The sequence below is a fragment of the Homo sapiens genome, chromosome 20, assembly GCF_000001405.40.
Source record: "Homo sapiens chromosome 20, GRCh38.p14 Primary Assembly".
NCBI classification, from domain to species: domain Eukaryota; kingdom Metazoa; phylum Chordata; class Mammalia; order Primates; family Hominidae; genus Homo; species Homo sapiens.
Window position 1 is genome coordinate 50346946 of NC_000020.11, and position 22112 is coordinate 50369057.

Consider the following 22112-nt stretch of genomic DNA (forward strand, 5'->3'; position numbering starts at 1 on the left):
TCAGGCCCCTGGCCACATGGATTGGTTCAGGGGTAAGCACACGATCCAATCAGGGCCAAGAAATTAAACCGGCGACTTTGGAATGGGAAAGACGTTGCCGCCTTGAGGTGGCTGAGCTCGTTGTAGGATGTCAGCCTGGAGCAGCTGAGGCACTGTGCCACCCTGAGAAACAGAGACCGCCTGAGAATGCCAGTGACATGGGGCAAAGCAGAGCCAAGAGGCGCAGACAGCCCCCAGACGAAAATCGTCAGCGGTGCTCCTGGATCCAGCTGTATCTGAAGCAGACATGGCTCTCTCATTCTCCCTTTTTAAAACCCACCTTGGGTTGGGTTTCCATTGCCTGCAGCTACAAGAAATCCTGACAAATAGCTGAGCCTTCTGAATATACATCTCATCACCTTACTGTCCGCACTGCCATGACCCCATGCGAAATTCTCTCATGAGGAACCCCTTTGAATATCCAAAGCTGGGGGAGGCGTCTCTTCCTCCACAGAGCTAGTTTCTTTTCTCACTCATGGGCAATATGAGCAATGATCGCTGGTTCTGGTTGCCTCAAGCTCCTTTTGGAATAAGGAAAAGAGCAAGTGGAATAACCTAAAGGACTAAAATGGGCTCGAGTTCCCAGGGGCTAAGGCTGGGCCCTCAGCCCCACTACTGTTCAGCATGGACAGGCACACAGCAGATGCTTCTCGGCCATTCACTGCTTGACAGTGCAAGGCAAGCTTTCTCAACCTGGGCCCTCGGGCATTCTGGACTGGCTGCTTCTCTGTGAAATACGCCAGGTTTGGTTAGGAGCGAGTTGCCCAGTCTGTGTTCTACTGACATTTAGTGCCAAATAACTCCTGGTTGGGGGCTGTCCCATGCATTGCAGGACTTGTTTAGCAGTGTCCCTGGCCTCACTACCCGCTAGATGCCAGTAGCACCTCCTTCCCTGAGTTGTGACAGCCACACATATCTCCAGACGTTGCCAAACATTCCTTGCAGGGCAAAATCACCCCCTGGTTGAGAATATCTGCTGTAAGCAAAGTGTGTCTCACAGGACCTGGCACATAGCAAGTGCTCAATAAATATCAGCAAAGATGGTTCGGTGACGATGATGCTAAAGATGATCACTGAGGAAATTTGGGGCCTCAGTGAGATCCAGATTTGGCTGACTTAAGTGGGAAGGAAATTTATTAGAGGAACATGAGTGAGCTTACAGAATTTATGAGAAAGCGGAAGAGTCAGTTCAAAACAACCCAGAAACGGAGGCAGTTCAGTAGGTCCCGACAGCAAGAAGCAGATATGCTGATAGCGGCAATGAGCTATTCCCGTTTCAGCCATCCCCCCACTTCCTCCTTCCTAACAGAACCTATTTTGCTCATTTTGCACAAGAAATCCCTGCCCCCACCCCTCCCATGGGCTCCAGGAAGATGGGCCTCAGCCAAGCCTCAGGGGACTGATTCCCGTTGCTCTAAGTCAGCCACAGTGTCCCCCACCCCAACAAGGCCAGTGATTGATTTAGGCTGGACATGGAATGTGATTTTAGCCAATGAGATGTGTTGAGAAATTTGTTAGAGGCTTCTGGGAAAGGTTTCCTTGCTCTTCGAGATAGAGGTTTATTTCACTTTGTATAATCCAGGTTTTCTTCTTTTTGAAGGCTGAATAATGTTCTGTGGTTTTTTTTTTTTTTTTTTTTTTTTTTTTTTTGAGACAGTTTCGCTCTTGTTGCCCAGGCTGGAGTGCAATGGCGCGATCTTGGCTCACTGCAACCTCTACCTCCCGGGTTCAAGCAGGCCCCATATGTGTGGCCTGTGCAGAAAGAGACTGGCAGCCTGGAGGGGTGAGACCTGGGTGGAAATGAAGAATTCAACCAAAGCAAGTAAAGAAACTGCCAGAAGCTTGAGCCCCCGAGAAGCTCCCGATGTCTGGGGGTAATCCCAGGATCTCCATCTTTTTTTTTTTTTGAGACGGAGTTTCGCTCTTGTTGCCCAGGCTAGAGTGCAATGGCACGATCTCGGCTCACTGCAACCTCTGCCTCCCGGGTTCAAGCAATTCTCATGTCTCAGCCTCCTGAGTAGCTGGGACTACAGGCGTCTGCCACCACACCCAGCTAATTTTTGTATTTTTAGTGGAGACGAGGTTTCACCGTGTTGGACAGGCTGGTCTCAAACTCCTGACCTCAAATGATCCACCGGCCTCAGCCTCCCAAAGTGCTGGGATTACAGGCGTGAGCCACCACACCCGGCCGGATCTCCATCTTTTAAAAAACATGACTTTCTTCTCTGGGCAGGTGGGAGGCTGAGGGACACCTCAGCGTTAAGCCAAAAACAGCCGAGGCAGCATTCATGCCTCCTCCTTCCAAAGGCCCCCATGTCTCCAGGGGTTGGGAGCCTCCAGCTCTAGGCTGCGGGGATCCCCTCTGCCATTCAGGCCCAGCCCCTCTACACTGGGCCCTGAGCATGTACCTGGCTCCCCCAGTGTACCCGAGGGCCTTGCTGTCACCGGATGGATTGAGCAACTCAACCGAGTGTGCATTTTCCAGCTCAGGCTAACCACCATTCAGTCACTTCCCCTCACGTTCATAGACCAGTTGGTTCCTTGTCATTTCTCAGGGGACACCATGACCCTTCTTGTGAACTCTCCATGATGCAGGCGAGAATCTGAGTCACCCAGAGCTAGCAACCTGATTCACCTTTGTCCCCCAAACCCCTGGCCTGGCTCTCAGATGAAAACAAATAATAATAATAATAATGAATATAGCCACTAATTCCTACAGTGTCCTGAGAGCTTTACAGGTACCTGCACTGACTTTCAGGTAGGTACATGCTTGTCCCCATTTCCTAGATGAGGAGACTGAGTCCCAGAGAAGGTGAGTAACTTGCTTATAAGGGAAGAAGGAGTCGTGATCTGAAGCTAAGCAATAGGGTGGATACATTCAAGCATGTTTGGTTAGACATTTAGCAAAACACCTTTGCTGAAAAAAAAGTTTTGAAAAAAAGTTATGAAAAAAAAAGATTGGAAACTCTATTTTTAAATGTATCACCAGCTTGGGAGGCCAAGGTGGGCGGATCACCTGAGGTCAGGAATTCGAGACCAGCCTGGCCAACATGGTGAAACCCCGTCTCTACTAAAAATACAAAAAAAAAAAAAAAAAATTAGCCAGGCGTGGTGGCAGACACCTGTAATCCCAGTTACTCCAGAGGCTGAAGCAGGAGAATCACTTGTACCCAGGAGATGGAGGTTGCGGTGAGCTGAGATCACACCATTGCACTCCAGCCTGGGCAAGAAGAGTGAAACTCCGTCTCAAAAAAATAAAAATAAAAATAAATAAATGTATCACCAGCTCCATCCATTCATCAGACACATGTTTCCATAGTAGATACCTTGTGCCTGGAAGGTTCTTCTTACGAGGGACATGGGAGTGAACAAACAGGTAAGGTCCCCTCCCCCCTGGAACTTGTAGTCCAGTGAACACAATCAATCCATTTAGGACTTGAACATTTGAAATTGAGACTTCCCTGTACCTATAATTATCAGAACTGTATGAGATCCTGAGGTGGAAAGATGGTGACTTCTGTGGGCTTTTTTGCTCAAACACAATTCTTTAAGAAAGAGACCTGCATCTCGGGCTGCCCACCGCAGTGTGAGGATGTGAGAAAGACCCAGGGACCTCACAGACCATGTGATGTCACAGAAGGCACAGGACTGCCAGGTGCAGTGGGTCACACTGTAATCCCAGCACTTTGGGAGGCAAACATGGGGGTGTCGCTTGAGGTCAGGAGTTCAAGACCAGCCTGAGCAACACAGCAAGACTCTGTCTCTGCAAAAAACCAAAAACCAAAACCACAGGGCGGGGAGGTCAGACCAGCTGCCTGGAATCCCAGCCCAGACCCTCACCAGCATGTGACCCAGGACGGGCCACGTGCTGTCTCCTCAGGAAGCCTCAATTTTCTCATCTGGAGACAGGGACAATGAATCCCTTCCAGGATCACTGTGAAAAGACAGGTTGAGCATCTCTAATTCGCAAATCTGAAATCCGAAATGCTCCCAAATCTGAAACTTTCTGAGTGCGGACCTGATGCCGTAAGTGAAAGCCCGCGGTTTTCTGTTGTCGCTGTTGTTTCACGGCTGAGCCCCCTATCTGCTGATATCGCTGTTCTGCTTGGTCGCCCTGAACTCCTTATTTTCCCACTGTATTAATGCTATGTCATACTTTTTACCATGGAGTACTTATGTGTGAGTAAGTGTGAGACAATGATTGCTTATTGATAGCATATAAATTCAGAGTCAGGAATAAGGGTGATGCCAAACAACCACAGATTGTCCACGTGGGTAACTGAGATAGGTGTGGGACGCCTTTCTTTCTGTTGGTGCGATGCACACAAAATTTGTTTCATGCACAAAATTATTAAAAATTATGTACAATTGCATTCAGGCTGTGTGTATAAGGTTTGTATGAAACATAAGTAAAGGTCATGTTCAGATTTGGGTCCCATCCCTAAGATATCTCATTGTGTATATGCAAATATTCCAAAATTTGGAAAATATAAAAATCCAAAAGACTTCTGGTCCTAAGCATTTTGGATAAGGGATCCCTTAGACGGTACCCTGTGTCAATGTGGGATATACTATGTAGGAAAATGTATTCGTGGTTCAACCCCCAGTCGGCCTGAGGGAAAGTCGATTCCAGAAAGGCCAAGTGATGAAAGTTCTTCATCTTTGTGGACCTCATCTGGGCTCAAACACATATTACAGACCTCAGTGTCAAAGGAGCCCTGAAGTCCCTTCAACAAGGGTTGGCTGGGTGAGGACTGTGGCGGCCTGGAGGGTAGCTGCGACTCAGCCTCCACGGGGAACGCATCCCAGTCATGCCAAAAAGCCATCTTCCTCAAGAGAAGCCAGAGATCCAGATTTTGATAGAAACTCTCCCAATTTTTAGGCCAGGCGCAGTGGCTCACACCTGCCAGCACTTTCGGAGGCTAAGGCGGGCAGATCACCTGCGGTCAGGAGTTCAAGACCAGCCTAGCCAACACGGTGAAACCCTGTCTCTACTAAAAATACAAAAAAAAAAAAAAAAATTAGCCAGGTGTGGTGGCCTGTGATCCCAGCTATTCGGGAGGCTGAGGCAGGGGAATCCCTTGAATCCAGGAGGCAGAGGTTGCAGTGAGCTGAGATCATGCCACTGCACTCCTGCCTGGACAACAGAGAGAGACTGAGTCTCAAAAAAATAAAAATAAAAAAATAAGAAACTGTCCCAGTTTTTAAACGTTTGCCACTAATGACGGCAAAGCATTGGCCTGCCACCTTGCACCTTCTGGGATGGCAAATGATCAAAAACACAGACACTAGCAAATGTTGGTGGGGGTGTGAGCAGCTAGAACTCTCATATCTTGCTGGCGGGATTGTAAAGAGGTACAGCCGATTTGGAAAACAGTCCAGCAGTTCCCCAAAAGTGTAGATTGAGTTACCACATGACCCAGACATTCCACTTCTAGGTATATACCCAAGAGATACAGAAGTATATGTCTGCGCAAAAACTTACACACAAATGTTCACAGCAGCACAATTCATTACAGCTGCACAGTGAAAACAGCTCCAATGGCCATCACTGGATGAATGGGTGAACCCCATGTGGTGGGTCCATACAATGGGATATTAGTTGGCAATAAAAATAATGAACGACAAACTCATGCTACAGTGTGAATGAACCTCGAAAACGTGGTGCTGAGTGAAAGAAGCCAGACACAAAAGGCCACATAGGGCACGATTCCATTCCTAGGAAATGCCCAGAAGTGGCAGATCTGTAGAAACAGCAAGTAGATTGGTGGTTTGGGGAGGCTGGGATGAGGGCATATGGGGAGTAGGCATGGGATACGGGGCGTTTTGGGGAGGTGGTGAAAATGTTCTAAAATTGATTGTGGTGATGGTTGCACAACTCTGTGAATGTACTTAAAACCATTGAATTGTACATTTTTACAGCGCGAATTTTATGGTAGGTGAATTATATTTTGATAGAGCTGTTAAAATACAAAAGTGCTGGCCTAACAGAGCCCCTTGGTGGGTTAGAGTCAACCACTGGCCACGCTTTTTCCATTCCTTGATTCCAGAGGTTATCCTCAGTTATCCGGAAACTTCAGCCACCTGGAACACCGGTTCCTGCGCATGAGGCGGGACTGTCCCAGAAGGCAGAGTTTCCCCATGGGGCCCAGCAGTGACAGAGAAACACCCTGGAATGGGAGGTGAGGGGTGTTGCTGCTGACACTTGCCTTTTTGCTTTTTTGTAAAAATCAGCCATTAAATGTAGGCAGAGAAAGGCTCTGTAGGTAACTTCTAGCCCCAGACAAGAAGGAAGTGGAGTGGGTGAGCTGGTGGGAAAACAGTGGTGGGCAGAGGCCAGGTGAGGCCGTGCAGATCCTGGGTGGCCTGAGAGGAGGTTCAGCAGGACAAGCGCTGACCTGAACGCTGGCTGGTTTTGCCCCTTCGCCCATCAGCCAGTGGCTTAGCAGCTACTGCATGTCAGGCACTGTGCTGGGTGGTGGGAGAATGTCACATGGGAGCGTCTTAGGAACATCCACACAGGGGAAGGAGCTGGAGAGAATCTGGGAAGACCTCTCCGGGGAGGTGACATTTCAGCTGAGACTTGAATGAAGTGACATCCGGGGCAGGGGATCTGCGTGGGGGACAGGAACTGCAAGTGCACAGGCTGTAGCGTGCCTGGCCCCAGAGAAAGAGGCTGCGGAGCTGCAGCCAAGGGGAAGAGGGAGACAGGGTCGGTTAGGAGGTCAGGGAAACCACGAGGGAGGTCCCAGACCAGGCAGGGCCTTGCGGGCTGTTGTGAGGACTTTGACTTTGCTCTAAAAGAGCTGGGAGCCATGCAAAGCTCTGAGCAGAGAGTCCTGACCTGACCTCGGTTCTAATAGTAGCCCTCCAGCCCAAGGGGAGAATGGGTTGGGGTAGGGGCGGAGCAGGGAGGCCAGGTGACTGCGGGAGGCCAGAGGGGAGCAGGGAACAATGGCTGGTCCAGGGTGGTGCAGGATGAGGTGGGAGAAGATAGTCGTTGTTTTCTCTCACTGCACAATGTACCTGCTGTGCAGAGATACAGGGCAGGTGAAACCGGAGATTCCACACATATATTAGACACACACACGCACACACACATACACTCTCATATATGTCCTGTGTAGATATGGATCCTATGCACATATTTCACACACACTCATATATGTCCACATAGATGTAGATTCTATATGTATATTATACACACACATATATATTCTACCTTCATATAGGTTCTACACATATATTACACACATTTATATTTTGCATACATATAGATTTGGCACATATATTAGACACACATTCGATATTCATATAGATTACCTATAGAATACCTACTTATTTGCATTCTATTTGTATGTGTGGATTCGAGACATATTATACACACACATATAGACTGCATACATAGAGATTTGACACATGTACTATACACACACACTCATAGACTCTACATACACATAGATTTGTCACACATATTATAAACCAAGTTGACCCTGAGTTCTGGCAGCCAGGGTCTGTGAACTTGGCTCTTGGAAGGGGCTCAGCTCTGGAGTTAGGGAGTGCAGGATCTGCTGCTTAGAGCTGTGGGATTCAGGCTTTGCTTCTCTGAACCTCATTTTCCTCATCTTTAAAATGGGATGACAATACCTGCCTTGCAGGGTTGTTGGGAAGTCTTGGTGAGATCACCATTTATGCAAAGCAGCTGATCTGCTCGGGAAGACTATTTAATAGCAGTCATCACACTAATAACGAGGTGTGTTTTGGGGCCAAGCAAACCCCACGGAGCACCTTCCTGGAACACAGGTGTGCACCACGCCTACACGCCCTCTCTCCTGCTCAGCCAGAATGGGAAAAGGAGTAGGCCTGGGGCCTCTGTTTGGGAAGGATGGACCAAGAACTCCAATGGAAACCTATGAGTCAGCAACAGGCATAAAACAGTTAATGGGTGCGCCGCTTCAGCTACAGTAATGATGGGGAGATGGAAGCCTAGATAACATCCAGAAGGCAGGTGGATTAGTCAGGGCTGTCTCAGTTGCAAGGAACAAAAATCCAACTAAAACCAGTTTAGGTGAAAGATAATTTATTGGGTCACATAAAAAAATTCCAGGGAGGCTTGCTTCAGGCATAGCTAGATCCAGGTGTTTGAATGATATTGTTTTCCACGTCTCTCTGGAAGACTGAGTTAATCAATATATATGAAGCACCAACTACCACACCTAATGCTCAGTAAATACTAGCTATCATTTTATTACTACAACTGCTGCTGCTACTGCCACTGTGACTACGACTCCCACTGATACTAATATGACCCTATCAGCCCAGCGACCCAGAGGGAAGCTCCAGCACTCTTTCTCAACCATTCCTATCAAAGCCCCCAGACTGGCTCTCATTGGCTGTGACTGGATCATGTGGCCATCTCTCACCCTGCCCCGTGGCCCATGGCCAGGTCCTCAGTCACAACGACATCCTTGAAGCTGGGGGTGGGTCAGCTTTGCTCAAACTCCATGGACTGAGAGTGATAGAGCGAGACTCCTTAATGGAATATCAGAAAGACAGAGAGTGGAGACTGGCCAGGTCCAGCCATCCTTCATGTGGGCCCTGGCGGGGCCATCTCTGCTGCCTGCCTGTCCCCCACATGGAGGTTGGCTGTGCCTGTCCAGTCATCCTCTTACATGCTAGGTAGTCTCCCATCCTTCCCATCACTTGGGAGTCCTGAGGCCTAGAATTTTCCACAATGTTACTTTCATTGCACAAGAGGCCTCTGGAGTTGAACGGACTTAGGTTTGATACTCAGTTTCATTGCTTAGTTAGCTTCACCTCCCTGTGCCTCAGTTTCCCCCATTTGTGAAATGTGGATAATGATTCTCACTTCCTTAATTCAGCAGATATTTTATGGAACACTATTTCTGGTACTTAGTGGCTACCACCTGCTTTAACACTTTCATTTTGACTCGCAACAACCCTGAGAGTTCAATATAACCATCCATTTTTACACATGAGGAAACTGAGGCACAGAGAGGCACAGTCACTTGTCCAAGGTCCCCTACCAAGAAGGAGAGGCAGAGCTGGGATTTGAACCCAGGGGTGATCAAGCTCAATGGCTGTCCATGTCGCCCGTGCTTCACCTGAGGAGGCTGGCGAGGTGTATCCTCTTTCACCTGCCTCAGTTTTCCTCATCTGTGAAACGGCCTCATGGCTTTGGAGCAAACAGAATGACAGATAAAAGGGACAAATGACACAGGGCTCTCCATTTGTTTAACAAGTACTTATTGAGAACCTACTGTGTGCAGGGCACCAAGCCAGGCTGTGGAGAAAACAGAAGCGGGTGACAGGATGGGAGAGGTTCCAGAAGCCGCTAGGAGGAGAAGGCAGTTGAGCTGTGACCTGGGGCAGGTGGATGGGCCTCCCTGGGAAGATCTGGGTGTGGGAAGCGCCTGCCAGGCAGGGGGCACCTCAAGTGCAAAGGCCCTGAGGTGTGGACAGGTGAGAGAAGACCAGGACAAGCCCCGCTGTTGCCGTCGTCTGGAAACCAAGGCACAAAGAGAGGAGGGGACGGAGCCAAGGCCACGCAGCTGGCAGAGGTGGAGCTGGGATGTTAGGGGAGGAACAGAGGTCACGACCTCTGCAAGCTTCATCCCCCACCCCTCACCCCCAGCCAGAATCTTCCAGAGGGGTGGCCTCCCCTTCCTGAGCCACCCCAGCTGTTGCGGAGGCTGCTGCTGTCCTGGTTCCCTTGTTTAATTACAAACAACATTTTTCGCCCTCACTTAATTATGCAACAGACGCCCGTGGATCTGCCACCATCTGGCCCCACTTTCTGGCTTGAGACGACGAGTCGCAGTGACTTCGAGGGCTGAGAGGGGAGCAAGCGGGAGGCACCTCGGCCAGGAGGGCACCGAGCTTGGCATGGCCTCAGCTCTGTGATGTACCTGGCCACATCTCTGAGTCCTCATCTGCAGAATTGGGACAATTGAGGGCTGGCGCAAGGGTCTGTGAGACAAGAGCTGCTTGGCAAAGAGGAGCCCTCAGCCCTAAAGGGGGCCTCGAGGGGCCAGGATGCCATCCCCGGGAGGCAGAGTTAGCCCCTCCTGTGTCTCAAAAGTAGAGTAGAGAGGGTTCAATTCCACCTTCCGGCAAGCTGCGTGGGCAGCAGAGTTCCCATTCCGCAGATGGGAAGAATGAGGCTCCAAGAGGCTCAGGGACTTGCCTGAGGCCCTGGCATCTGAGTGTGGGAGTGGGTTCATGGCTCCAAAGTCCTCCATTTCCACATGAGTGTCTTGCAAACTGCAATTTTTCTTGGGCTGTCAGTTATGAGGGGAACAGCCCTCCCCTGGTTTATCCCCCGGGAGCTTGGTGTGGGGCTCTGTGTGTGGCCCTGCGTCAGCTATGAAGTCCTGGTTGATTTGAAGCCAAAACTGGCCCTTCCAGCTGGGGAGGGGAGCAAGTGTGAATTATTTTCAATGCCCTAATTAATAATAATAGTAATATTCACTGACAATTACTAAATACTGACTATGCACCAGGTACTTTCCATGAATTATCTCATTTTCAAATGATCACCAGCCTTCTGAGGGAGGCGCTGCTGTGCCCACCCCACCGGTGAGGAGCCCAAGGCACTGAACACGGGGTTGCGTAGGTAGGATTCGAACCCAGGCCCTGCAGACAGCAGAGACTGGCGCTGCTGAGAGTCGACTGTGGAACACGGGGCTTTTTCTGGCTCTGTCCTTTTCTGGCCTTTCTTTAAGAGGCAGCACCAGCAGCTGGATTCCACTTTGAGTTGCAGTGTGTCCTGGGGTTGGAACTCTGGGAAAATCCCAACAGCAAGCATCCCGGGCTGCCTCCTGCAGGTGCATGGGTTGAAGACATCTATGCAGAGGCTGGACTTGTCCAGGAAGGGGTGGGAGGCATAGATATCAGGGCCTTCGGCCCCCCAGGAGCCATGAGGTGCAAAGAGATGCCTGCAAGGCCCCTTGCCTAGGCTGCCTCGCCAGCTAGAAGCTTCTGAGCCACTCTCCAGTCCTCTGCTTATCATTCCCATCAAACTCATGAGCTGGGCCTGGCGGACACACCCCCTCAACACCTCACTCCAGCTCCTGGCCTGACCTGGCCCCAGCCTCGCCTCCTCCTCATCTCCCTGCACCGCCCTCACCCCTAGGATCCATTCTCCACACAGGATTAGGGGGAGCCTGCTAGGACCCAAGGCTGACAGTGCCCCTCCCTTGGTGAAACACTTTTGAGGGCTCCCCACTGCTCTTGGACTAACCCCCTAAGTCTTGTTGCAGCCTCCGTGGCCTTGCATGGTGTCTCTCAGTAATCTCTGCACTTGCCGGCCTCCCCTCTGTCTCCAGAACCTACTCAGACAGTTTCCACCTCAGGACCTTTGCATTCTCTGTGCCCTTTGCCTCGACTTCTCTGCCACTGGATCATACAGCCGTATCATCCTAGTCCACACTGTGGCCAGAGCAAGCTTCCTGAACCCTGCATCTCAGCAGGTCCTCTGCTGCCTAAGTCTTCTCTTGGGCTGAACACCCCATCCCCAAATCCAAAGCCCTGGATGGGGCTGAGGCTGCCTGCGCCCCCTCCAGCCTCCTCTCCTGAGCTTCTTTTAGTGCCCCCAAAGGCCTGCCTTTGTGCCAGGGTTTCTCAGCCTCGGGCTGGACCATTCTCCATTGCAGGGCTGTCCTGTGCTCTGAAGGACACTAAGCAGCGTCCAAGGCCTTGGTCCACTGGATGCCAGCAGCACCTTCCCCAGTTGTGAAAACTAACATCTCCAGACCACCAAATGTTCCCGGGGAGAACAAAATCACCGCAGTCGGGACCCCCTGGGCGAGGCTTTTGTCCCTGCTGTGCTCTCTTTTGGGGACACTCCCCACCAGCCCTCTGCACCCACCCTGCTCAGCCCTCTGTGTATTTCACAACCCTTAGATGCCACCTGCGAGGAACCTTCCCAGCCCAGGCAGGTCAGGAGGCTTCTGGGTGCTCCCACAATGCCTTATACTCATCATCGGAGACCTGATGATGCCATCTTGTAATTGTCAGGGGGCATGTTGGCCCACCCCTCACCCCGCCCCTGGGGATGTCAGCTCCACAAGGGCGGGCTCCATGTCTGCTCTGTCCTCCACCGCGTGACACGCACAAGCACCGAGCACAGGGCCTGGCGCGAAGGGGATGCTCAGTTCACATTTCACCATCTCTCCACTTGTCTCTGCCTCTGTCCTCATTCATCACAAACACACCCCAAGTCCACACATGTGTGGGTGCCGCGAGTGCTGACAAGAATCAGACGTGGTTCCTGCCCTCAGCCCACTCACACTAGCGGGCAACACAACACAGTAGGGGAGCCACAGGGGACCTGGCAGCTCCAAAGAGGCATCTGATCCAAACTATGGGGAAGAAGGGAGGGTCAAGATGGGCTTCCTGGGGGAGGTGACGTCTGGATGACTGAAAGGATGAAAAGGAGGATCAGCAAAAATAGTGCCAGGATACGGGGTACCCAACGTAGTGAATGTCCTAAATGCCACTGACTTGTTCACTTTAAAATGTTTAATCGCATGTCACATGAATTTCACCTCAATTATTACAAATAAAAAAATAGTGCAAATAGAGGGACTAGAATGTGTAAATGTCTGGTGGACAGAAACTGAAGGTCATTTCACTGGAGCTGCAGGTCAAAGGAGCAGATATTGGAAGTGGTGATGAGACAGGAGAGCTGGCCAGGGGCCCTGTGGCCACAGAGAGGAGTCTGGGCTTTTTCTTGAGTGAGTGGGAGTCACAGAAGGTCGTAGGCAGAGGAAGGAATGTGGAGAAGAGAGTGGGTGAGGCTGGAAGCAGGAAGAGCAGAGAAGGGGCGATGGCCACAGTCCACGGGTGAGAGGGAGGAGCCTGGCCCAGGGCTTGGCCAGGGAGGTGAGGAGATGTGGTTGGATATAGGAGATATTTAGGGCATAAACCCGACAGTTACGATGGTGTAGATGTGGAAGGTGAGAGGGGAGCATCACGGACAATGTCCGTGTTGCCTCAGTCAGGAACCCATCCAGGACCTGCCCCCATGTCCCCCAAGAGCCTTCTATGCGGGGGCAGGTGCAGGGACCCAGCTCTGTGCTTCCCTCCTCAGGGGCTCTGCCTCCCCCAAGGCTCTGTAAGGGGTGGTCTTGGCACTCCCATGACCTTCTGTGTGACCTCTGGCTAATCTCTTGGCCTCTCTGGGCCTGTTTCTGGGGCATCTTTGTCTACTCTTCCGGGAGGAGTGAGAGGCACTCCGCCCAGGCAGAGGACCTTGAAGAACCTGTCCTGCAGGGTGAGGCCCTCACCCGCCCCTCCTGGGGTACTCAGCAGGTGAGGGGACACCTGGTGCACAGCCTGGGCAAGAGACCCAGCTCCACCACGCCCTGCACGGCTGACTGGCCTCTGCTCACCTGAGGGACGCTGGGGTCCAATCCTCCAATCCCAGGGGCTGTGCCCCCAGGCCCAGCCTGGGATTCTGAGCCTCACACTCTGGCCAGGCCTGGGGGATGAACACCCTCCGTCAGCAGCCTGGGGTCAAGGGCATGAGGGCTGGAGCCAGGGCCTTGGGGCAAATCCCAGCTCTGCCCCTTCCTGCTGAGCTGCCTTACGCAAGTGACTCAACCTCTCTGATGCCCAAAGAAAGAGATCTGTCATGGAGGCTACATCCCACACAAGTGGGGCTTTTCCACACGGGGTGGGTATGAGTCCCGGTTCACACACTGGCACTGTGGAGTTTCTTTGTGTTTTCACAAATGGAACTGATTTTCCATCTTGTGTCGTGGTTATGCCAGGCTGGAGGAGGCTTCATCTGACGGTGATTCCCACCCTCGCCACCACCCCACTCCACTTTTCCTGGGAAGGCTCTGGGTCCCCTGGCCTTTCATGAGGCCAAGGTGTTGGGGATAGGAATGAGGACAGAGGCACTGGTGTTGGGTGTCGTCTTCCCACCAGGCATTGCCTGACACAGGCTGGTCCCCCCCCTGAGGCCCTGCGTGGTTCTGTGCCTGCCCCTTCTCCATTGCCCCTGGTCCTGGGGGTCATTTGGCTGCTTCCTGGCTACTTCAAGGGCTGGTTGGAGGCTGCCTTTCCAGAATCCTGGAAAAGCTGCTTCTACCTGAGGTTCTGGGCCTCACTGGGCTCAGCCCCAGGCTGGGGGCCACCCCTGACACCCCGTCTCTGTACCTATCCTGCGACCCTGGCTCTGATTCTGGGTGGGGGAACCTTGCTCTCTGCAAGACGTGAGTTCTTCCTGCTCTTCTCAACTTTTGAAACTCAAAAGCCAGGAAGCCTCCTGGGATCCCCGTACTTGGTGTCCCCGCCCTTCCCGGAGGCACTGAGTACAGACTTACAGTGGGGAAGGACGGAAGGGAGAAAGGAAGAGAGCAGGGGCCTAGGTGGGTGCAGGGCAGGGAAGAGAGGCCAGTTCTGCAGCCTCCCCAGACAGTGGCCCTCGGGATCCCTTTACATTTTAAAAAACTGCTGAGAACCCCAAGGAGCTCTTCTTGCTTGTGTGGATTCTATCAGTCGATACTCACGTTAGAAATGAAAACTAAGAAATGTATAACATATTTATTTATTCACTCAAATGTAATAATAAATCCATTACATGAACATAACATTTTTTATAATAAATACCTATGCATTTTAAAATGGACAAATTTAATGAGAAAAGTGGCATTTGTTGGATTGTGGATATTTCTGCATCTCTCTGTAACAGCTGGCCTCTGGGGGACAGCGGGTCCTCACACTTGCTTCTGCAGTGGATCTGCTGTGAGACTTTGTTTAGGATGAAGTACCTGAGAAAACCTGGCTTCCAAAGGCACATCGTTGGAAAAAGGGAGGATATTGTCACATTGTGAAATACATGTATATTGAGACGGAGTCTCACTCTGTCGCCCAGGCTGGAGTGCAGTGGCGTAATCTAGGCTCACTGCAGCCTCCGGCTCCTGGGTTCAAGTGATTCTCCTGCCTCAGCCTCCCGAGTAGCTGGGATTACAGACATCTGCTGCCATGCCCGGCTAATTTTGGTATTTTTAGTAGAAATGGAGTTTCACCATGTTGGCCAGGCTGGTCTCTAACTCCCGACCTCAGGTGATTTGCCTGCCTCGGCCTCCCAGAGTGCTGGGATTACACGCATGAGCCACTACACCCAGCCATGAATAGTCTTTAATGCTACACAAAAACTAATCAGTGGTAATGTCTTAAATTCAGATGCAATGTGGAATCTAAACATCTATCAATGAACTTTTCAAACTCTTTACACTCATGTGAGAATGAGAGTAAACAGGGCAAATAATCCTACGAACCCCTTAATGGGTCTTGGGGACCCCTAGGGATCTTCGGACCACACTTTTAGAACTGTTGTGTTCTCTACAATGGACACGAACTCATCATTTTTTATGGCTGCATAGTATTCCATGGTGTATATGTGCCACATTTTCTTAATCCAGTCTATCATTGTTGGACATTTGGGTTGGTTCCAAGTCTTCGCTATTGTGAATAGTGCCGCAATAAACATACGTGTGCATGTGTCTTTATAGCAGCATGATTTATAATCCTTTGGGTATATACCCAGTAATGGGATTGCTGGGTCAAACGGTATTTCTAGGGACATGGATGAAGCTGGAAACCATCATTCTCAGCAAACTATCGCAAGGACAAAAAACCAAACACCGCATGTTCTCACTCATAGGTGGGAATTGAACAGTGAGAACACATGGACACAGGAAGGGGAACATCACACATCAGGCCTGTTGTGAGGTGGGGGGAGTGGGGAGGGATAGCATTTGGAGGTATACCTAATGTTAAATGATGAGTTACTGGGTGCAGCACACCAACATGGCACATGTATACATATGTAACTAACCTGCACGTTGTGCACATGTACCCTAAAACTTAAAGTACAATAATAAAAAAAAAAAAGAACTGTTGTGTTCTCAAAGAGAAGTATCCCAGCAGTCAGAAAGCTGCTGGTTGACCCCCACCAGGGACATACCAGGGTATGATGAAGAATGCAGGTTCAATTCCCATTTCTGCTGCTTCCTGGCTGTGTGTCTCTGGGGAGGTCACTGCTTCTCTAAGTCTCAATGTCTTCATTTCTAAAACGGTGATAAGAAGACCTACCTTACAGGCTTGTGGTCAGGACCCATGAAAAGCAGGATGTGAATGCAAAGCCCTTGCTCATATGTGTTCCTTTCTGCCACAGGGCCTTTGCGCGGGCTGTTCCCTCCATCTGAAACCCCTTCCCTCCCGGTTTTGCCAAGGGAACTCCTTTCCCTTTAGCTCTTGGCTTAAGTGCTTCTTCCTCCAAGAAGCCTTCCCTGACTTCCCTGGAACGTCTGTTAGAAACCCCTAGAGCATGATCAAAGCTTTATATTTTTCAGGGTTATAGGTGATTATCTGTCTCCCACCAATCCCTAAGCCTGGGTTGACTTTTGCCCTCTGCCGTAGGAGCTTGTGTGGAATGAATGCTGTTGAAAGAATATTGGTGATAAAGTGCCATCTTTGCTGATATCTTGGTTTTTCCATCCTTGGAATGAAAAAGCTGGGCTTTGACAAGGGGTCCCTCCCCAACCCCCACCTTCTCTGCCAGCAGCTGGACTGCACCAAGCAGGGGCAGGTGGAGGGGGGCTCATGCTCTGAAGCTGCAGGGGTTCTCTCGGGGGACCCAGCCCTGCCTGAGCCCCCTTTATGTGGGGTACCCCGGAGGCCTCTGGGGTCATGCTCCCCATCTCGCAGCTCTTTCCTTTCTGCACATGGTACCTGCCCTGCCCTAGAGCAATCTCTCAAGCATCCAGGCTGGCAGACGCCCTTCTCCCTCCCCTACTCTCCCTTCAGATGGGCTCAGTCAAGGATTTCTTCTCTGCAACCCCAAGCCGACTGTATCTCTGTGTCCCTGCCATCATGGCACATATCCCATACCCTCATCTTCCCCAACCAGGCAGCACGTTCCTCAAAGGCCAGGATTGTGTCTTCATCATCTTCGTCCCCCTGGGATCAGACAGTGGGCCTGGTGTCCAGTAAGTGTCCAATACATATTTGCTAAAATGACACGAATGCAGGACTCTGGGAGAGGTTCCTCTTATCGAAGGAGGTTGTACAAGTTAGCTTTGGGCTGCAAGGAATAGAAACTCAGCTCACACTGATTTAAAGCATAAAAGGCACTTACTGGCTTGTATTAATGAAAAGCCTAGTAGAAGGGTGAGCTTCAGGGTTGGTTTGATCAGAGCTTCAACTCTTTTCCTCTGCGATTTACCCAGTTCTGCTTCCGTGTGTTGTTTTTGTTTGTTTGTTTGTTTGTTTGTTTCCTCTGGCTGGTTTTCTTCACGGCGTTGAAACAAGCATGACTGTTCCAGGTCTCGTTCTGTCCAGATGAAGATCTCTTCGAGTGGCTACTTGGAATGCACTCCAGAGGCCCCTGACATTGATTCTTCTCTAGACTCAAACTAACCTAGTTACATGTCCGCCCTCGAACCAGCGGCTGCAGCCGAAGGTGAGATTTGGAAAATTAGCTTAGATTTGGTGTCAGGAAGGCGATCAGCTCCCCAAAAAGGGGGACCACACGAGAGAAGTGTGGCAATCCCCTCAAAATACGAGTAGTTACCAAGAGAAGAGAAAGTGGGCAAGACCGTCAAAGCATCCACTCGAGGAGTTTAATTATATTCAAACCCATAGCAAAAAAAGAAGCTGTTTTTTGAGCAAAAACCAACCCAGGGAAAACTTTGCTAAACGTCCAGATATTTCACCAGAACCTTCTGTCAAACATAAGAAGATAACAGATTTCTGTACTCTCTGACTGAATTTTGCTGACCAAATCCAAAGTCAGTTCACAGAGCCACAGATGACTTTACTGAATTTTTTTAAAAATGTGTTTGTTTTTCCGATTATGATAACAATACATGCTTGTTGTTAAAATATTTAAATAATGCAGAAAAGCATTTAAAATAGTAGTTCTCAACCAAGGGTGGTTTTGTCCCCCAGGAGACATGTGGCAATATCTGGATACATTTTTGGTTGTTAGGATAGGGGGTAGGGGTTAGCTCCTGGCATCTAGTGGGGAGAGGCCAGGGATGCCACTAGACATCCCACAGCGCCCAGGACAGTCCCCCGCAATGAAAATTATCTGACCCAAAATGTCAATAGTGTCAAGGTTGAGAAACCCTGATTTAAAGGAATGTAAAAATTACCCCAAATCCTACTGTCCAGAAATAAACACTGCCGACATTTTGGCAAACATCATTTAGAATACTCTTTTTAATATATGCCCATTGCACACACAACTTAATACAAATGAGATTATGCACATGAAAATGCTTTTCTCTACAATGTCATGGCTGTCTCTCTGTATTGCTGTTTTTGTTTGTTTGTTTTTTGAGACAGAGTCTCGCTCTGGTACCCAGGCTGGAGTGTAGTGGCATGATCTCGGCTCACTGCAGCCTCCGCCTCCCAGGTTCAAGCCATTCTCCTGCCTCAGCCTCCCGAGTAGCTGGGATTACAGGCGCCCGTCACCACGCCCGGCTAATTTTTGAATTTTTAGTAGAGATGGGGTTTTGCCATGTTCGTCAGGCTGGTCTCAAACTCCTGCCCTTGTGATCCACCCGCCTTGGCCTTCCAAAGTGCTGGGATTACAAGTGTGAGCCACCACACCCGGCCCTCTATATTGCCATTTTAATGAGTATTTTTAATACAGCTTAACACAATGTTTTATATTTATTTAATGCAATTTCATAAATTTTTAATACAGCATTTCATTATATGAGGACTATTGTTTGCTTAATGAATCTTCTGTAGTTTGGCATTTCAGAATTTTTTCCCCCAATTTTTCACTATTATAAACAATGCTGCAATGAACGACCTTCCCCGTAGAGACTACTTGGCCTATTAGAATAAATGCCCCCAAGTTAAATTTCCAGGTTGCTTTAAAATTTCTGCCCAGTGAACAGCATGGTGCTTGTTGCCATTCTGCTCCCAGAGACCCTTGTAGAGTCCGTTCGGGACAGTATGAGAATCCCCATTATCCCATACTCTGCAACACTGAGAGTTGCCAATCTTTTTTGTCTTTTCTAATCTGATAGGCAGAAAATGACATATCATTGTAGCTTATCATTGATAACTGGTGGGGTGGAACTTGTCTTCATACTTTTTTTTCTTTTTTTCTGAGGCAGTGTCTCCCTTTGTCTCCCAGGCTGGAGTGCAGTGGCACCATCTCAGCTCCTACATCAGCCTCCCAAGTAGCTGGGACTACAGGCATATGCCACCACACCTGTCTAATTTTCCTTATTTTTTGTAGAGATGAGATCTTTCTGTGTTACCCAGGCTGGTCTTAAACTCCTGGGCTCAAGCAATCCTTCCACCTCGGCCTCCCAAAGTGCTGGGATTATAGGCATGAGCTGCCTCGCCTGCCAGAATAGTGGGTTTTTAATACGGTGTTTACCTCTTCTTATTGTTTTGCAAGAACTCTTTGTATATTAAGGATAGTAATTCTTTCTAAGAGTCTTATAATTGACTATAAAAGTCTCCCTCCCTCCCTCCTTCCCCTCCCTCCCTCCCTTCCTTCCTTCCTTCCTTCCTTCCTTTTGTTCCCTTCTGCTTTCTAAGGATATGCCTGGTGTTTGGCAAGCATTGCATGAATTACATTAGGAAATAACTTTTGTAACAAACCCATTTAACAACCATTCTTTGTTCCCCGCCTCCTGATAATGCTCAGAGCCACAGCAACAGCCTTTGCCCAACTCCATGTCATTAACCCTTGATCTTTTCCTGCTGAATAGCAGATTGCTTTCCGGGGCTGGCAACACAGTTTCATTTTCACCTTCCTGCTGATGGAACTGCCCTGGCTCTGTGCCAGATGGCTGTTTACATAAGAAATGATTTGATTATATTGCACAGCCAATGGCAGCCTTTCTCAGAATAAAGAAGCCAGAAACATATAATCAAAGCCATTAACTGTGTACAAAGAAACGCAGCCCACTCTAAATTTCCCACCAACCATAATCACAGTTTTCCAGAGAAAAATAAGAACAGGGTTATGGTTCCCTACTAAAAACGTGTTAGGGGAAAGACTTTTAAAAGGAAATTGTGGTATAGCTCAGTTGCACTCTCAGATCAACCCTTGAGCCTTGACTCCAATCCCAGCTCTGTAACTCACTGTCCTTGTGACCTTGGAAAAGTCGTTTACTGCCAAAAGCCTCCGTTTCTTTATTGTAAAATGGCTATAATAGTAATATCAACCTCAGAGGTTTACGAGAGGATTAAGTGAGATAGTGCATAAGAACACTTTCTCAGTCAGAATGTTTTCAGCCGCAAGGAGCAGAACACTTGACTAAAGGAGGGAAAAAAAAGCTAGAGGACTTATAATTTTATTTAACAGGGTTGTTTCATTTGGAGGCATAAAGATGTAACCAGTGATTCACATTCTTTTCTTCTTCCTGCTATGCCATTCTCAGCAATTTATGGACATGTCTCCTCATGGTTTCAAGACAGCTGCTGTGGCTCCAGGCATCACACTGGGACATGATAAAATCAAGCAAAGAGGAGGAGGGCATTTTTTCCCCTGTGTCTCCTTTCATGATGGAGAAAATTGTTCCCAAATTTCCCCCCTGCAGATCTGCAGACTTCTTATTGGCCAAGATGGCGTTACATCTATAATTCCAAACCAGTCACTGATGGAGGAATGAGAATGACTGCAGTTGGCTTGGACCTATAACTCACTCTGAAGCCGGGGCGAGGAATAGCCACCGTCCCTGAGCTCCTGAGTAGATGCACAACCAACAAAACTGAATCCCGTCAGCGAAGGAGTCATGGGTGGGCAACCCGTGCTGTGTCTACCATAAGCACAACTCCTGGTGCTCATGAGGTGCCCCCAAAGGCTGGCATTTGGCAAGCTCAAGACTGGGAGTCCACACAGTGCTCCAGGTGGGAGGATCACAACCGCGATTGGCCAGGGAGTCCCTCTGGGTGCCAGACCCCTGTATGCAAAGCCCCACTCAGCATCTCCACTTGATTGGCTTATGGGAACCTCAAATCCAACACACTATATTTGAACTCATCATATTTCCTCCCCACTGGCCTCCTCTGTTGGTACCCACCTTGCTCAAGCCAGAAGCTGGCTGGTCCTCAGGAGTCCCTGCTTTCCTTCCCCATCTGTGCCCACGTCTCTCCAGCTCTGCCATCATCTTCCACCTGGACACCAACCAAGCCCCCGCTCTCCCTGCTGCTGTGTGGGCATCAACAGCCTATGCTGTTCCCTCTGAACGGAACTCTTCCCGCTCCTGTTTCCCTGTCACCTTGCTCAGGAAAGCTCTTCTGATCCCCCCAAGTTGAATCCCTCATTACAAACCTCACATCCTGACATACATCTCTCCATTGCCCTGATCATACTTCTTATTTACCTGTGTGATTATTTCACTCATGTCTCACCCCACCAGGTTGCAGCTCCATGAGGGTGGGAATTGGGTCTGTTTTGTTCACTGATAACCTTCAGTGCCTGACACATAGTAGGGCCTCAATTTTATTCCTGAATCCCATAAATGAATAAATTCATCCCCTGCCCTGTGGCCAGGGAGATCACTCTAAGAAGCAAATCTAATCACTCCCTCTCCTGCCATAAGCCTTCCATGGCTCCCCTTTACCCACAGGACAAAGTCTAAAGGGCTTAACCTGGCTCTTTCAGGCTCCTCAAAGTGGATTCTGCCACCTCTCCAGCCCCATCTCACCTGCCCCATTGTCCTTTACGGTCCAGCCACCCTCTACTCCTTTAGGTGTCTCAAAGTCTGCATGTTCTCTCCTATCCCTGGATTTGCCTATATGCTATGTTTCTCCCGGAAACTTTGTCTCAAAAAATCTTCATTCTCATTGCCAAGGCTTTAAAATTTGCCTCTTTTGGGGAAGGTTTAGTTCTGTAAGCTCATTCTGGAAATCTGGGTTCCTTCTATCTAGCTGTTGTCATCCTCAGTCCATAGCTTCCAGTCAAGTCCAAAACAGCTGCTATAGCTTCTCCGTCACATCTACGTTCCAGGCAGTGGGGAGAGAGAAAGGGTCATTCCTCTTAAGGGCATGACTCAGAAGCA

At 49.5% G+C, this 22112-nt stretch overlaps 1 long non-coding RNA gene across 2 annotated transcripts, besides 2 other annotated features; it reads left to right on the top strand.

The window, feature by feature from the left end:
* Nucleotides 3510-3559: an enhancer, noted in NCBI's record as "active region_18086". NCBI's record gives its function as "activates an Ori minimal core promoter by ATAC-STARR-seq in GM12878 lymphoblastoid cells {active_cell/tissue: GM12878}" and the evidence as "EXISTENCE:reporter gene assay evidence [ECO:0000049][PMID:35858748]".
* LOC105372657 (uncharacterized) lies at nt 3753-21921 on the top strand. Of its 2 annotated transcripts, none has more exons than XR_936836.3 (3): nt 3753-4065; nt 17386-17536; nt 20490-21921. It is a non-coding gene; the product is annotated as an uncharacterized LOC105372657 (long non-coding RNA). The 2 variants fall into 2 exon arrangements; XR_936837.3 differs by having other exon boundaries at nt 17400-17536.
* Nucleotides 8380-8592: a silencer, noted in NCBI's record as "fragment chr20:48971862-48972074 (GRCh37/hg19 assembly coordinates)". NCBI's record gives its function as "represses an EF-1alpha promoter that drives an FKBP-Casp9 reporter gene in an ReSE screen in HepG2 liver carcinoma cells {active_cell/tissue: HepG2}" and the evidence as "EXISTENCE:reporter gene assay evidence [ECO:0000049][PMID:32094911]".
* Nucleotides 21922-22112: the final 191 nt, after the last annotated feature.